The 18,221-nt window shown below is 43.0% G+C and overlaps 1 long non-coding RNA gene across 2 annotated transcripts, besides 2 other annotated features; it reads left to right on the top strand.

Annotated features, from left to right (window-relative positions):
• Nucleotides 1–385: 385 nt before the first annotated feature.
• On the top strand, nt 386–10,081 carry LOC105378751 (uncharacterized). Of its 2 annotated transcripts, XR_007066137.1 has the most exons (4): nt 386–5,560; nt 5,660–5,870; nt 7,206–7,308; nt 8,471–10,081. It is a non-coding gene; the product is annotated as an uncharacterized LOC105378751 (long non-coding RNA). The 2 variants fall into 2 exon arrangements; XR_007066136.1 differs by lacking the exon at nt 7,206–7,308.
• Nucleotides 12,687–12,886: an enhancer, noted in NCBI's record as "active region_1088". NCBI's record gives its function as "activates an Ori minimal core promoter by ATAC-STARR-seq in GM12878 lymphoblastoid cells {active_cell/tissue: GM12878}" and the evidence as "EXISTENCE:reporter gene assay evidence [ECO:0000049][PMID:35858748]".
• Nucleotides 13,518–13,577: an enhancer, noted in NCBI's record as "active region_1089". NCBI's record gives its function as "activates an Ori minimal core promoter by ATAC-STARR-seq in GM12878 lymphoblastoid cells {active_cell/tissue: GM12878}" and the evidence as "EXISTENCE:reporter gene assay evidence [ECO:0000049][PMID:35858748]".

The following is an 18,221-nucleotide window of genomic DNA, read 5'->3' on the forward strand; positions in this document are numbered from 1 at the left end:
GCTGCATTTTGAATATTTGGAGGATTTGGGGCACATATCTGGTATTGGAACTTCTCTGAATTGGATTAGAACGCCGCGTGGCTCACGCCTGTAATCCCAGCACTTTGGGAGGCTGAGGTGGGTGGATCACGAGGTCAGGAGATCGAGACCATCCTGGCTAACACAGTGAAACCCCGTCTTTACTAAAAATACACACTCAAAAAAAATTAGCCGGGCGTGGTTGCAGGTGCCTGTAGTCCCAGCTACTAGGGAGGCTGAGGCAGGAGAATGGCGTGAACCTCGGCGGCGGAGCTTGCAGTGAGCAGAGATCGCGCCACTGCACTCCAGCCTGGGCGACAGAGCGAGACTCCGTCTCCAAAAAAAAGAAAGGGGAAAAAAAAAAAAAAGAAAGCTGTCAAGACCATCCAGACCTGAAAATACCTGATAGGGGGATGGGAAACAAAAACATGACTTCTCACAGTAGATCCTTAATTGGTGATCGAAAATTGGTTTAAAAGTGTCCTAACTAATCTTTTTTGAAGGGAAAGTCAGAAATACATTCAAACTCACAGTGTGTACCTCTGAGAGACAGTGGCTCATTCAAGTATCACTTATCCATTTGGGTCTTCATTCATTCACTCATTCCCCAAATCCTAACTGAGTACGTACTATAAAACAGACACTTGCCAGGTATTGGGGGATGGAGGGTCTGAGTAGGGGTAAAGATTAATTAGGTAATAAAATCCAGATTTCTTTTAAAAACAATCAGAAAATCTCACAAGGCTGGACCCACATTCTCACACAATAATGATTGCTGGCGCTGAGTCACTGGGGACCTACTAGGTGAAGCAGGAATCCCTGAGTGCCTACAGCTCCCATCCCCAAAGCTACATCATTACAGCATTCCTTCATGTTACCTACCTGTCATTACCTATGGACGTCTGAATTCATGAATCTGAGCTCACGAATTCTCATTGAGAGAACCTTTCCAATGAAATACCCATCGGATGCCCTTTGCTGAGAGCCCGGAGTAGAACCAGTGCTAAATTTCTAAGAGAGAGACAAATACCTAAATAACTCTATTGCAAAATAAAAGGTATTATCAGAAAGGGAAGGATGAAATGCTTTGAACATTTAGGGGACAGGGAAATTGTTTCTGGAGACTGGTACACATCAGAAATGGCTTCCTGGCAGATGTAGCACCGAATCTGGGACTTGAATGATTACATTTTTTCCATCAATTCAACAAATATTTGCTAGAAGCCAGCTAGCCAGAATGCTTTATAGAAGATGCACTCAGAATTGGCTAGTTATGAGGGAGCTGTTTGTCAACTGCTAATTTTCTGTGGTTTGCTCTTCTTCCCTTTCCTTTTACATTCACAAATTGGGAAAGTTAAACTTGTAGATCACTTTGGGGATTGTCAAAGGGTGGCTTCTGGTAGATACTGGTTTCTCCAAGCCAGGCAAACCTGCATTCACTCAGCATATATTTTCAAGTCTGGACTATGTACCGTCCACTATGACAGGAGTCAGAAATACAGTGATGAGTGCTGGCCCTGTCCCATGTAATTTACAGCCTTTTTGGAGAGAGAGGCAGTTTCAGTGACCTCACAAATACATGCAGGAGTGTAACTGTGATGAGTACTGCAAAGGGAAGAGGGCCCTTGTTGCTAAAGGACTTATAAGAGGAGTTGGCCATGTCAGAAGGATCAGGGAAGGCCTTACTGAGGCATGAGGCTTCCTGGTGTGAATAGCAGTTAACAGGTGGAGGGAGACCAGGTTCCAGGTGGAGGAAATAACATGTGTGTGGGCTCCTTTCCAGAAGAGCTGGAGAGAAGAGAGATGAAAGGAAGGTGATGCAGGATGAAGCTGGAGGAGTAAGAAGGGGTTTGATGATATAGCAGGCCCAGTCAAAGAATCTTGTCTTTATCCTAAGAGTCAAGAGAAGTTGCTGAGAATTTTTAAGCAGGAAAGGGTGATGATCATATTTATATTTTGGAAAGATCCTCCAACCTGCTCTCTGTGTTAAAACAGTTGAGTTCATATATCTTCTGGCTGCAATAATGGGAATGAACACAAGGCAGGACAGAGTACATGGGGGGAGGCCGGTTAGCAAGCTAGTGTTGAGTTCAGAAGGAAGATGATGTTCTTTTGACTAGGATGCTGGTGATGGAGGGCAATGAAAAAATCTGAGAGATAAATAGGAGCTAAATCAACAATATAATGGGCTGAACATGGAGGAGAAAAAAAGAAAAGAGTCAAACATATCTTCTAGGTTCCTCTCTGCCATGCATAATTGGATGGATGGAATACCATTCACTAAAATGAATCACCACTTGGCTTTGTTCTAAGACTGCTGTGTACAGTTGTGTGAGTTGTGTACTACACCAGGGCATCTGGCTAATTAACAAAGGCAGAAGCTGAAAGTCAGCCCATTCTCTGCTTGCCAAGACACATATCCCCATGTAGGGTCATGTCTACCCAGGTGGGAGGGGCAGCTTCTTATAATTTGCAAAAAATAGCTATCCATTTGGCTAGATAAAAAGTTATACCTTTTAACCAGCATTGCAGGCATCCAAGAAGGCCCACATAGGGTACTACGAGTGGGAGGGAGCACTAAAGGTGGTAAAGCCAGGGCCAGGATACCTGGATGGTAGAGACAAGGGCTGAAGAAGGTGATGAGAAAATGAGAGAGTGCAAAAAATATCAAGCTCAGTTTATTTATCCTGCAGTGGCTATCTCTGGCATTTCCTGGACTCCTGACCCACAGGGAGGGATCCTGCCTGTGGCTCACCCTTCCTGTTATTTTAATTCTTTTGTTGGATGCCTTTAATGAATGTAGACATGGACACTCATACATCAGAGAGCAGAAGTACTTTAAGAACCATCTAGCCCTACTCTTTCATTACACGGATGAGAACGCTGAGGTCCAGGGAAATGGAAAGCTTTGCTCTGTCTCCTGCTGGGACAAGATCCTTAATCGCCTGATTCCTCACATCATGCTGATCTTTCCTCTAACAAGAAATTGACTGAGCTTTCACAGACAACGAGGCAACACCTGAAAGAGCAAAGATACCAAGTCAGATTCATCTGAGTTTGGATCTCTGCTTGCCATTCTTTGTTGTGTGATTTTTGACAAGTTACTTAATCTCTCCAAGCTTCACTTTCCCCACCTGTAAAATGAAGATTAAAAACACCTTGAAGGTGGGCTGTGAGGATTAACGTAAAGCCTTTGGGATAGGGTCTGATATTCACGAGCCACCATCTAGACCACATTCTCTACTTATGTTGACTTCTCCAGCCCCTGTCTCTTCCCTACCCTTTCTCTATTCTCAAAGGGTTTGCAGGGATTCTGCAGAAAATTTATTCTTTGGAAATTCTTTGTGGAACTCAACACAAATTCAGCATATCAAATAAACGAAATATTAAGAAATGACTCTACCTTTTCCCCTAACCTTTCACTTAGGGTTCTGATCCCTAAGATGCAAATGGCAATTAACCCTGCACCCCACACTAGCCCTCTACCTCTCCCTATGATGACTCTGCACAGATCTCAGGAAGCTTTATGTGAAAATAACACCTTGGAACTAGAAGCAGAAGGAACTAGAGAGGTTTCTGCTGGAAGCATAATATAAAAGCCAGTTTTGAAGAAGGCGGGGGGTGGTGGGGGCTCAGAAAAATGAGCGATTACCAGAAGGAACTTTTTTTCTCCCAACATGATTTTTGATGGCTCATAGTTACTTTCATTTGTTCCGTGACTTTGAGAGGCTGACAAATAGCAGCCTCATTCTGAATGCCTATTGTTACTCCTGAGGTTTTATGTAGAGTAGAAAAGATTGTTTTGAACGTTTCTCATGGACAAGTGGAAGCTGTACTCTTGCTACAAATGATTCATGTGGGAGAAATGATATATAAACAAGATTGCCTGCTTGGAGAGTGGATGAGAGGGTGAGTTATTTCAGAAGGGCTCTTCACTTTCATGCCAGCAAATGATAAAAGCTAGCTCTCAGAATGGCAGGGGTGCTATGGAATGGAGGCTTCAGAAACTTTTTGACTCTTACATTTTATAGTCAATGTCAAAAAAATGTATTATAAATTTCTGACTAAGTCCAGTTACTTTTTCATGGTGATGTAGCAATAGGTTGATTCAACCTTGGGCCTTGTCCTGTCAGTGTGTTGAGGCTGAAAGAGCCTGGGTTCTGGAAGCTGAGCCTCTGGGGTAAGGTAGGTGCCTAAGGGGCAAAATTTCAGGAGGCACCTACTCTCAGGGTCATACAGGCACAGAGTCAGCACTTGCACAATCCTGTAAGTGAGTGCCTCCTTAAATTTTGCCCTCTGGGTCACCCTCTTTTCTCACCCAAATCCGGGCCCTGGAATTGAATTAGAATCAAGACTCCATCACTTATTGGTGGTGCAACTTTAGGGAATCAGTTAGGATTAGTCTTGGCTATAACAGAAAAAAGCCAAGTGAGAGTGGCTTATTTCTCTATTACATAAAAATCTAGAGCAATACAGGACAGGGCTGGCATAATGTCCCCATTGCATAAAGTCATCAGATCCTAGTTCCTTCCAGTGCACTTTTCTGCCATTCCAAGGGTTTTGCCTTCATGATTCAAAATGACACATCCACATTCTAGGCAGCAGGATGGAGGAAGGTGACTAAACCATGTGACTATATTACTGATTTTTAAAATATAACAAAATTATAATTATAAACATGTAGAATAGATTGTAAAAGCCCAAACAATACAAAAATAAAATATATTTTTGGATTGTTAAATCACCTATAATTGTTATTTCTATCAGCCCCACTCCAAATTCCCAGCCTAAGCATCTAGTTTATTGCAACTATTAAGGACTGAGCCAGTCTTGATTCCCACAATTGAAAATGTTTTCAGAAGGAATTATTCTTATGGAAGCTCATAAAATGTTCTTAAACCCATAGGTTTGAAAATAAGAAAATTATCTAGAGTGGAGTGGTAGACAGCTGAGTTATCTGCCTGCCCAGCACTCACTTCCCATTCTGGCAGGCATACTTCAATTTTGGTTTGGGGAACAAACTACCAGGTTCCTTTGCTTACAGACTTGGTAGAAATTGTCATTTGGGCTACAGATGGGAAGACGTAGAAATGTAACTCAAACTAGGACCATAATATCCCTCTCTCTTCGAATAATTTGTCTCTTGGATATGGTTAAAAAGCATAGACATATGACTGGGGATCATTTTCTCTAACAGAGACATGGAACTCAAACAAATTCCCTGAGCTGCTTTGGATCCTGTTCTTTCTGAGGCCTGATACTTCAGCGTCTTCAAATCTAATTTGCAATGCCCCATATCCTTCCAGTACACCTCTTCTATTTAAGTTACCTAGAGTCCATTTATGTTGCTTGCAATCAAGAACCCTAACTGACAAAAGAAGCTATTCACTTTTCTACCCAAATATTTGAAATTATACAGGTTGGTCTCTCCTACCTTGTTAATTATACCTGTTTTCTTCTCCAGCTTTTCCCAGGTGAGGCCATTAATGCCTCCACCCATAGGCTTAACCCTGCCCTGTTTCTGAGCCAACTCTAAAGTGAGGTATGAAGAGTCTCGATTTTTTACTGGGTGGGACTTAGAATTAAGTCATCTCCCTAATATCTGGGTTGTAGTGACTATGAGGTTTGATTTCATACTCAGGAATAGGACTAAAGAGGTGGTGGGTGAGTTGCATGCAGGATACCAAAGGATAAATCCTGGGGGCTTCCAGAAGTTCCAGAGGAATTACCTAGAAGGCATCATTCCAAGGAGGAAAGAGGCCAAAGCATCACATAGACTTCATAAAACAAGGGACCTTGCCTATCTTATTCCCCACTGTATCCCCAGTACAAAAAATTATGTCTGGCTCATGGTAAGTACTCAGGAAGTAAGTAGTCAGGCTGAATAAAAGAGGGAAAAAGCAATGGCAGTAAGAAGGGCTGAGATTTGTGGGGATAGAAATCAAGTGAAGAGGTGAGGTGACATTGCAGAGATGGAGTGAGGTCAGTGAGTAGAAAGGGGAAAGATGCAAAGTTAAGAGTGCAAGAGATGCTGACTTTTACAGGTGCCAACCGAGGCAGTCACTGGGACAATTTCTGGTCTTTCACAATATTTTCTTGAATTATCTTCTCTGCCAATGACATCTCTCAAACAAAGTTAACCTCAGGAAAACCTATAGCTGCCATATTCTGCCTCTTTGCCTGCCCTCCTTCCTTCTCCCTGCTGGCTTGGCCCAGCCCAGCAGAATGACATTTTGTGTTGGTCCTTCCTCTTGAGTGTTGACCATTTCCCTGTCTTAATCCCTAACCCAAGGCCTGGTGCTCTTATAACCTGCTGTGCTCTTCCATGTTCTCCCTACTAAGATGAGAGACTCATCAATTTCCCTGACAGGTCCCTGAGATGCCGTCACCAAAGTCTGGTTTCTTAAATGATGACCTGGTTAATACAAACAAGAATGAAAAAAGACCCCCACAACTAACATATATCGGGCACTTACAAAGATCAGGTCCTGAGCAGTGCTTTTAACTTTTGTACAGTACTCATCACAAACCCATGAATTAAATATTATTTTGGTATGAACTGCTAGTTGCCTACCCAGTATTCATTCTCCCATTCACAGATGTTAAAGACTACATTTCCCAGCTTTCCTTGCAACTAGGAGTAGCCAAAGAATATAAATAGAAGTTGCTGGGTAAGCTTCAGACAAAGCTCTTTAATGCTGATAGGGTGCCTTTTATTGCTGTGAAATATTGGCTGCAGTGTAGACATGATAGCTGGAGGGCACCTTGTAACCATGAAGTAACTTTAGGATGGAAGCCATATGCGAAGAATGGTGGAACAGAAACAGAGAAGGAGCCTATGACCCTGATGGCTGTGGAGCTGCTACAGTGCCTTCCTCCAGACTTTTTATAACAGGCAAAATAAATCTCTAACTCCTTAAAGCCATTAAAAGAGTTATTTAGCTGCTCTGTTTTATGCAATGAAATCCAATTCTGATCGAGTTAATTATTGCCCTGTGGGGCAGGCATATTTAGTGTTCCCCAAATATCTACCACTCTTCCACATTTCCCAGTCTTAATTGCAGTTGAGTTGGGCCATGTGTCTTATTCTGACCAATGAGCTCCAAGCAGAAATTACATACATTGCTTGTGTGCTGAGGCACCTAGGAGCCAGTATAACTTCTCCAGCTCTCTCTTTCTTGACACAGTAACATTGGAAGCCATATGATGAGATAGTAGTGTCACGAGATAGAAGAAAATGGGATCTCTAAGTCACTGGATGTAGGAGGATTCCCACTGACTTGACTTTGGGTGGGTAAAAAATTAATTTTTGTTCTGTGAAGTCACTGAGATTTCAGTTTGTTACCACAGCACAGATTAACCTATCCTGACTAATACACCCCATTTTATAGATGAAGAGATTAAGCCTCTCAGCAAACAAGTAACTTTACCCAATCAAAGGGCTACTAAGTGACCAAGTCTATATGACTCATGATAGCCAACCCATGGCCTCCACCTTTCCTATGTATTGGCCCCAGCTTGACATCCCTGATCTTGTTGGCTTCCCGACATTTGCTTCCGTCCAGGTCCTTCCCTCCTTTCCATCTCCATCGCTCTTTTTGGCATGCATGGATGAGAATGCCATATGTCCAAGTCTTCAGCTATGACACCAAAATCATAGAATTGCTTCTAAGGTTGTAATTCCGTCTTGGAATTTATTTTGAGCCTTGGCTGGTTGAGTTGGCCATTCCTGAAGATGGCTGCTCAGCATCTGGCTCCCATTTGGTCTTTGGCTAAAAATTCAAAATTCATTTTCATCACTGAGTTTGTAGTATTTTCTTTCTTTGCTGAGCACAGTGAAGGAAAAGATGTGGCCATAATACTGTATCTGAATCACTCAGCTTGGTGGGTTGGAACAACTTGTTCCTAAGAAAAACTTTGTATTTAACAGATGTTATCACATTCCAGGGACCGTGATAGATGCTGGGGATGCAAAGAGAACTTTACAAAGTAGCCCTTACATTAAAGGAGTAGCCAACCTAATGGCCTGCATGAAGTTTAAAAATGCAAAATACTGTGATAAGCCCATGGAGAATCAGCACATATAGGCACAGGGATAACACAAATGAGAAGGTTGTTTTTCCCACCCAGCATGATCCTGATTCCCACATGAATGGGTTTTAATGATATGATTGGAAGAGTTGCTGACTATTGAGTGCTGTGCTAAGCGTTTTCCAAAAATCAACACTTCCCTCCTTTACAACGATGACACCTATTCCATGCATAAGTAAACTGTTGCCCAGTGAAGGAAAGAGACTTACCCAAAGTCATGTATCTAAGATTTCAACTCAGTTCTGTCTAACGCTTGATCTTCAAATCTTCTCCAGCATAGTAAGCTGGTGCCCCTGTTAATGTAGATGAGTTTGGATGGGTTTATTCCAATATCGCACGTGTCTCTTGTCTCATTATCCAGTGAGTTCCCTGAGCCAAGCACTCCGCAGCTCCATCGCAGCGTGGGCCTCTTGGAAATTCGGTGCTAGTTCTCAAGGCCTCCTACCTGCTGAACCTTAGTCTTCATTGCTGAAATAAGAGCTGTCCTGCAAACAGAGTTTGGCGCTCGCTTTCTGGCCTCCGGCTGGTGGAGCAAGGACGTTTCCAGCACATAAGATTCCCCACTCTGTTAAAAAAAAATGTGTTTATACTTGGTCCCCTCTGAAGGCGGACGACACCCATACTTTTGTCCCAGCCCAATTTGCTGGCTGGGATTTTTCTCATCCTTTAAATCCCGGGAAGCAAGGAACCTGCCCTCTGGCGCCATCTACCGGCACTGTTTTTCGAGTCCAAGGAGCCCCCTGCGGAGTTGGGATGTGTTTAGTAATTGATTGGATGAATCCTGCCACTTCGTTAGTAGATTCTTATTTTCTTCACGGACTCTTTACTAATTAGTAAAGAGATTATATAGCAAATATATTATCTTACTTTAAAGAGACCAGAGTCTCCTATCTCTCGCTTCCCCCACCCCATCAGTTGTGGCATTCCTTCATCTTTAATTTCTTCCTTCGAAAAATATTTATTTTGTTATTGTATAGAGATCAGGGCATGGGCCACACAGCTGCACACCTGAGCAAACAGAGGGGCTGACTGATTTGCTGTTGTAATGAAAAACATTAGTTTTGGGTTCATTACTGTGATTCCACAATGGGCACCAAATCCCACTTAAGACCCACCGAAGAAGTCTTCAAAGGGACACGGTTTCAGGTCTGTGCCTGGTGAGCGTGCTGCCTCTTCGAATCTTTGCACAGAAATAACCTACGGTTGAAGACTCAGACCTGTCAGATCAAAACCAACCCTGGCCTCCAGACCTTGAAACAAGTCAAAACAGTGAACCTTACTCATCCGTTTTCAAAATATGGCCTGTTTTCTTTACAAAATGCAGCAAAGCCTCTCAGATGGGCGCTGGCTGCAATATTTGATATATTAGGGAGAATCCTGACTCCTTCCAGGTTTCTGCCCATCTGTTTTAAATCCAAATGGCTTGGCAGAGGATGGTTTTTAGTTATGTATTTTTTTCATTTCAAATGGAATTTAAAACAGCAGGGGCAGAAAGCCCAGATATGGATGAGAGAGAAAATAAAAAGGCCCCTGTAATTCCCCATTCGCCTTCTACATGAAGGAAAAAATATCGGCATTTGTTGTAAACCTACTATGTGTCAAGGTATCACTAGGGAGTGTGATGTTGCTGAGCCATTGGAATTTTATAAAATTTTAAATGTTTTTCATTTTCTTCTTCAGAGGTGGTTTGATTTCATGATCAAGAGCTTGAACTTAAAGTCAAATCCTTCTCCTGCCTCCTGCAGTCATGGGGCCTTAGCTATTCTCTGTAATGACTCTAGGTCTCAGTTTCCTTGCCTGAGAACAGGCCTGTGATAATTACCTTGATGGGCTATTGTCAGTTTTAAATAAGGTAGTGCAGAGGCAACTACCACAGGAATGGTTCTGCCTTAAGAATGAACTACGTGTGCATGTGTCTTTATAGCAGCATGATTTATAGTCCTTTGGGTATATACCCAGTAATGGGATGGCTGGGTCAAATGGTATTTCTGGTTCTAGATCCCTGAGGAATCGCCACACTGACTTCCACAATGGTTCAACTAGTTTACAGTCCCACCAACAGTGTAAAAGTGTTCCTATTTCTCCACATCCTCTCCAGCACCTGTTGTTTCCTGACTTTTTAATGATTGCCATTCTAACTGGTGTGAGATGATATCTCATTGTGGTTTTGATTTGCATTTCTCTGATGGCCAGTGATGGTGAGCATTTTTTCATGTGTTTTTTGGCTGCATAAATGTCTTCTTTTGAGAAGTGTCTGTTCATGTCCTTCGCCCACCTTTTGATGGGGTTGTTTGTTTTTTTCTTGTAAATTTGTTTGAGTTCATTGTAGATTCTGGATATTAGCCCTTTGTCAGATGAGTAGGTTGCGAAAATTTTCTCCCATTTTGTGGGTTGCCTGTTCACTCTGATGGTAGTTTCTTTTGCTGTGCAGTTTATTGAGGCACTATTCACAATAGCAAAGACTTGGAACCAACCCAAATGTCCAACAATGATAGACTGGATTAAGAAAATGTGGCACATATACACCATGGAATACTATGCAGCCATAAAAAATGATGAGTTCATGTCCTTTGTAGGGACATGGATGAAATTGGAAATCATCATTCTCAGTAAACTATCACAAGAACAAAAAACCAAACACCACATATTCTCACTCATAGGTGGGAACTGAACAATGAGAACACATGGACACAGGAAGGGGAACATCACACTCTGGGGACTGTGCTGTGGTGGGGGGAGGGAGGAGGGATAGCATTGGGAGATATACCTAATGCTAGGTGACGAGTTAGTGGGTGCAGCGCACCAGCATGGCACATGTATACATATGCAACGAACCTGCACATTGTGCACATGTACCCTAAAACTTAAAGTATAATAATTAAAAAAAAAAACCAAAACTACTTTGGTTATCCAAAAAAAAAAAAAAAGAATGAACTAGTGTGATTTTCAGAAAAAACCTGGGTTTTCTTTGCTCACCATCATCTGGCTGCTCAGTTTGTTGACGACTTGAGGGTACTATATTCCGATATGGCAAGTTAAACCACATACTATCTGGAACCACCTGCCCCTGTGGCCTCCCCTCCTACCTTGTCCCCTCCCCCTGAAGGAACCACGTTTTCTTTTCTTTTCTTTTCTTTTTTTTTTTTTTTAGACGGAGTCTCGCCCTGCTGCCAGGCTGGAGTGCAGTGGCAAGATCTCAGCTCACTGCAACCTCCGACTCCCTGGTTCAAGCAATTCTCCTGCCTCAGCCTCCTGAGTAGCTGGGACTACAGGTGTGCACCACCACACCCAGCTAATTTTTGTATGTTTAGTACAGACGAGGTTTCACCATGTTGGCCAGGCTGGTCTCGATCTCTTGACCTCATGATCCACCCACTTCGGCCTCCCAAAGTGCTGGGATTACAGGTGCAAGCCACTGCGCCTGGCCCGATATTCACTTTCCTAAGATAAGACTTTAAGAAGACATTGACCAGAATTGCCCATTGAGAGACCAAAAAGTAAATAATGAGTAATGCATTGTGACCCAATTTTAGAAAGGCAGTAGATACCTCTAGCCTGGTCTGCAAGGTTTGATAATAATAACAGCAACAATAATCACTAAATGGATGAGCTCTGGTAGTTGACATTTTCTTTTGATCCCCCCAGTATCTACTCCCTCCTAGATCCTGATTTTCCTTTGAAGATACCCTCTTTCCTCCCTGTCTGGCCATGTGCTTTGAATGACTCCACAACCTTGGTTTCAGAGGTGGGCACTTGACCTACACTTAAGCTGGTCAATATATCCCACTTCACCCCTTGGCCATACTGATTGGTTCAGGGATGTGTATGTGACCCAATTAGATCAATGAAGCATAATTCTGGGAGGCTGTGAGAAATTGCTGTAGCCCTCTGACCCCTATGGATGGAGAGTTGGGACTTTCTGGACACTACCACATGGAGACTGAAGATGAAGCTAACACTTTCCAGAGCAAGCTGAGTGACAGACAGAAATCAAAGCCTGATGATACCATTTGAACCCTGTATATAGCCATGTCTGGAGCTACATCTATGATGGTTTTTGACTGATATATTTCAATAAAAATCCTTTCCATTTAAACTAAGTTTCCTGCCTCTTGCAACCATGGAATTCTAACTGATACATTTATGATTTGCTGGCACTAGGTTAAGTAAGCTCTTTTACATATATTGACCTATTTAATCGTTACAGCAACACAATGGGAGTAGATATTATATTATCTCCATTTCACAGTGAATGCAACTGAGGCTTAGACAAGTGAAATATTTTCCCACTGACAGCTCGAGGTTGATATTAGAATTCAGATCTTAGCCACTATGCTGTTTCCTCGGCATGCGAATATGGCTGGAGAGTGGCAGCATGGTTCTTTCTCAGGATTCCATATCCTCTCAGGCACTTCATCCAGTTCTCTCCCTCCCCTCCCCAACACTGGTAACCCATTCCTTCATTTTGCTGTCCTTTCCCTCATCTCTTCTCCCAATCTCACACCTTGACTTCAATACTCCCAGGAGATAAACATTAGGCCCTCCACCTAGCAAGTTCAGAGAGCTCAGGTTTAGAGCAAGCTCAGAGAGCCTAAGGCAGGAGACTGGCTGAGATGACCCCTGCACAGCCCCCAGGCCACCTTGTTGTGGAAGCTATGGCCTTAGCCTGGGTGCTGGTGATTGCTTCTTCCTTTTCTGGCACAGAGCCACTCTCAGAGGCTTCTTTGACAGCACCTAGGGCAAGCCAGGCTGATAGGCACCCTGCTCGAATAAGGCATTTCACTGCCTGGGCATTTGTGTGCAGCTGGCTCTGTTTGAAATCCTGCCTCTTTCTGACTTCACTTCCTGAATGTGCTGACAGGCCTCTGAGCCAAGCCAAACAGGTTCACAATGCAGTGCCTGCAGAGTATTCCCCCGTGAGTGCAGCTGGGGAAACAAAACTTTTCTCCAGCCCACAGAGAGGACCTGCCAGCCCTTATATGACCAAGAAGTAGGCCCTGTGAGACCTCGTTGAATCTTAATGGGAAATGTTTTTATTTCAGCTGTGTGTGTGTGTGTGTGTATGTGTGTGTATGTATTCCTGATTGTATTCCTGATTTTTTTTTCTTAAATTAACAAGTCGACAGTAAAAACTAGCTAATTATTCTGTGCCTGCTGTATATAAGTGCTTTAGATGTATGTTCCTCCCAACAACCTTCTGTGGCAGCCATGATTGGCCTCATTTTTGCAAAGAAAGAAATTGAGGATTAGCAATCAATGGTAAGGGACTGGCTCCATGCTCCCCAGCTACAAGTGGCAGAGGCTAGATTTAACGCAGGGGCACTTCACTCCAAAATCTGCATGCCTCTGAGTCATAATACCTCAATTCTCTCCCCTAACTCATAATACCTCAATTCCTGATGTGTTTGTTCAGAAGTGCAGTGAGGAACAGTGGGAAGGGCAGAGGCTCTAGTGTCTTTCTAGCTCTGAAGTTTGGCAAGATAGTTTTTTTCTCTAAATCTCAGTTCCTCATATACAAAATGAAATAACAGTGCCTGTGTGGCAGAGAAGTTGCAGAGTTCAATGAGATAGAAATTTACATGGCAGTACTATTCAAGAGCAAGGTCCTGTGTGGACAAAGCCAGTTCTTTGGAGTCAGGAAGAGTTGGATTCAGCTTGAGCTTCTACAAGTCACTTATTTCCTAAAGTTGAACAAGACCTGATGCTCCATTTCCCCTTAACACCAACCCTGGAAGTCCTAACACAATGCCTGCTACATAGGAGACATGTAGCAAATGGTATCTATTATAAATATTATATACGTGTCGGTTTTTATTATGCTTGTAGCAAGCATTATTGGTTCCTACCAGAGGATATCGTTCCTACTGTTGGTTCCTACTAGAGTTAGAATATACTAGGTAATGCTATAAGAACAAGCAACCCTCAAATTCAGTGCCTTAAAGCAACAAATTCTTGGGGGATTTTGCTCATGCTAAATGGTCACTGTGGGTATGCTGGTGGTCAGGAGTTGTGGGAGAGGAGAGTGGACTCTGTCCACATCACTATCGTTTAAGGACACAGGCTGATGGACATTGCATTCCTGTGTGTCCACAGTTGCCAAGGCAAAGAAAAGGGAAGATGTTGAATCTTGTAGTTGCTCTCAAGGCGTCCTATCTTGGTGTGATATGTCACCATTGTTTGCATTTCATTGGCTGATGCAAGTCAGAAGTCCTCTCGCTTAAGTTCAAGGAGGTAGGAGATGGCAAAGTACAAGCAATCATGGTGGGTTCATTTCCTAGTCATGAATGATTTTGAGTCTAGGAATATGACCTGCTCCTGTCCAATGGGACAAAAGGGCAAGTCTACTGGGGTGGAGGTGGGGAGCCGCTAGGAAAGTTTCTCTTGTTAATAAAAACAGAAAGATGATAGTAAACATTCCTGCATTGCTGGTGACTATTGTGTTGACTTATGATGCCGGAAATGCTGCAGGTATCTTGAGTGCTCACAAGAAACTTCCTTGACACACTGAGAATGGTGAAATGAAAAGATAGGAGGCACCTGAACCCGTGATTATGTCATTAAGCCACTACATTAGCCACTCGTGGACTTGTTTCATAGCTGGTCTTCTGGTTTACGTTGCATGTTCTGTTGCTGGCCCCTGCACACATCTTAACTGGTAGAATGGTCAATAATAGAACAATTCAGATGCCTGCCCATTTTTCTCCAGGATAACATAATATCAGGAAAAGTTTCCCCCTTCAAGCATGAACCTAAGATCAATCAATACACCCTGGAAGAGATTAGTCATCAGCCCAAGGTGATGAATGTACAATCCTCAGGATATTTGGGAAATATTCAAATTCTGTCCAGGGGACCAGTGAGTACCTACAACCTAAGAAGGCAATAACTGTATTGGTCATCTGGTAACACAATTGTTTGAAGCAATAATGAGGCAATCATCAAACAATGTTTTTTAGTGATGTACATGAAAGAAGTTTGTATAGCAAGAAACTCTCAGGGCTTCTCAGCACAGAAGTGTTCGTTCTCTCCAGAGAGGGGGAGTTTGCAGAGAGGCAAGGAGAGTTCATTAGACATTGCTGCGGCATGGACAAAATATCCCAGGAGACTATCTGATTACCTTTGCTCAGATGCTGTGCACATCAAAGAACCTTCTGATAACTAATTCAGTCCTCAGGGTCCTTGATGTAGACGTAGGGGTGTGCACTGAGTAAGAGACCCAAGGTCACCAGGATTTCTGTTTCTTGGAACAATATAGGTGAAAAATATGGTTCTTGATGCCTGGGGACCAAATTGTGCCCCACCAGTTACTGGAGCCATGGCCTCAACAAAAGCACTTAAAACTCACTGGGAGCCTCAGCTTCTGCTCCCATGAAACATGACTACTATCAATGGGCATCCCGAGAACAGTGGTGAAAATAACATGAGACAGAAGAGGCAAAAGAGCTTTGGAAACTACAAGAGTATGGATGGGTGAGTACAAATGTCATTGCTCATCACTCTTTCTTTTGCTTAGTATGCTCCAGGGATTCAGGCCTTCTCATAACTACTAGGGTGCACCAGAGTCTTTCCCAGGCTCTCCTTCATGCTGATTCTTCACCTGGGATGTCTCACTCCTATTCATCTGCTCTTCACATGGGGAACTCTTAGTCTAAGATTTCTCAGCTCAAGTAGTTCTCCAGAAATACTTTGTTGCCAACCCAATTTAGATCTTCTCTTTATTAGTGCCCAGTTCTTTTTCTTCATTGCACTTTAATCATATATTTATTTGTGTGTTTCTTTTCCTTCCTCCCTCCCTCCCTCCCTCTCTTTCTCTCTCTCTTTCTTTCTTTCTTCACGGAATCTCTCTCTGTCGCCCAGGCTGGAGTGCAGTGGCGCCATCTCAGCTCACTGCAACTTCCGCCTCCTGGGTTCAAGTGATTCTCCTGCCTCAGCCTCCTGGGTAGCTGGGATTACAGGCACCCACCACCATGCCCAGCGAATTTTTGTATTTTCAGCAGAGAGACAGGGTTTCACCATGTTGGCCAGGCTGGTCTCGAACTACTGACCTGAAGTAATATGCCTGCCTTAGCCTCCCAAAGTGCTGGGATTACAGGTGTGAGCCACCATGCCTGGCCTTGTGTGTTTATTTACTGTTCCTTTTAGCTAGATGAGAAACTCCATGAGGGAAGGCATCCTGTTGCTTTCACTCTTCTGTGTTCCTGGTTTCTGGCACAAAATAGGATTTCAATATTACTTGTGGTAGAAAATGAGTGCTATGGGAATGTAAAATGTTATTATCAGTTCCCTCAACATAATTTGTTTATACATCAAAGAGTTTATAAAGTTTGGGTCAACTAGCCTCATTGAGCTTAATCAATTCTAGGTGACCAGATAAAGTCAGGTTTGGTCTTGCAGCAGTGAAGACCAGTTCTGTGCTATAACCCTGGAAGGCCTGGCCTACACGGGTGCAGGTCTGTTTCATTCACATCTGTTTATTTGAGCTTCCTGACTCTGAACAGGTGGGCTCTAGACCATTTTGTGAGAAGATTTTCTTTCAGGTATCAAATGGACCCAATGGAGAGGAAAATGTAAGCATGGAGCAGGTAGCATAAGAGGAAAGCAAACCTCCTGGTATCCCTCTTTAGGCCTAACTCATCAGAAAGTTACATAAGAAGAAAGGTGGCATGATGTAGCCTGGACCAAGCCATCTTCTTCCCATTTGTCCCCCAACTGTAAGACTACTTTAAATACCACAGGCATTCTAAATAAAACTGAAAACCTATCTTTGGTATTTCACCCCTTACCTAGCTTCTTCTTCACCAATCCATCCTCCAAACTGTTGCCAGCATGAATCATTCTTAAGCTGAGGGTATTATGTCCCCACTCTGTTTCAAATTCACCTGCTTTCTCCGTCACCTATAGGATAACATGGAATGGATATTAAATCTCAACCCAAGCCTTCAACTTCCCTGCCTCTTCTCCCTTCAGTTTTCTTCTCGTATCTTTCTTCCGAGCTTCTCTAAGCAGCCTTCAGGTCCCTAAACACAAGACGTTTTCTCATACTTCTCTGCCTTTGCATGCACGTTTCTTTCCAATCTTTTCTGCCTGGTAAGGCCCACTGGATCAGCTCAAATGTCACCTCTCCCATAAAGCATTTTCTAATAATGTCTCCTTCTGCTCCCATCTGGCACCTTTTTCTTATAGCATATATCTTGTGCCTTTAGAATAGTTTCTATTTCATCTCCACATTCCACTCTACCAGAATGTGAGTTCCTTGAGAATAGGGATTATATTTTGCTCATCATTGAATCCCCACAGACAAGCAGAGGGCCTCAAAGAGACTCAGGACCAGAGGAATGCCCTGCTTTATGATGTTCAAAAGTCCAAAACCAAACAACTCAAGTTAGGTTCCAGAGTTAGGAAAGAATAGTTTTACATTCTGGGGCCATCCCAGCTGCTAACCCTCTTCCCCTCTTCTATGAGATCCTACTTGACCACCATAGAGGTGGGTGGAGGAGGCAAGGGACAATCAAACCAGAAGTCATGGCCTCTTTCCTTGGTTCATGAATGCACTTCTCTAGTAATGAAATGACATGGAGGAATAGATGGATTAGCATGATTCCTGTCTCAGCAAGCAAACATTGGGTACTAACTTCTGGACCCCTGAAATATGTCTAATTTTACTAACAGAAAGTCCCCTCTCTCATTACCAATAAAGCTGGTTGTTTTAAATGAAGACACATCTGGAACTGTTTTTGTGCCTGCCCAAGGACACACATAGGCTCCATTTCCACCTTCAAAACTAATGTTTCAGGCAGACCCATTTAATGTAAGAAGATGCTCACCTGCATTAGTGGAGGCAGGAAGGGACACTGTGTGTGGCTGGATGTATGAATGTGCTAACAGCTTAATTCTTTTAAGAACACTCACTAAGTACTGGGCTTTAGAACTTGAGGGTTGGCCAGGTTGACTTTGAGGGTTGATCCATCACGAGTTATGCACCTGGAAATGAATGAAGTATATTTACTAGAAGAAACTAAGACTTGGAATTATGTTGGAGGAGGGTTTGAGCTCACTTGTTCGTTCAGTCATCAAACATTTATTTTATGAACATCTACTATATGCCAGGCGCT

Source organism: Homo sapiens, chromosome 1 (genome assembly GCF_000001405.40).
Source record: "Homo sapiens chromosome 1, GRCh38.p14 Primary Assembly".
In the NCBI taxonomy this organism is placed as follows: Eukaryota; Metazoa; Chordata; class Mammalia; order Primates; family Hominidae; genus Homo; species Homo sapiens.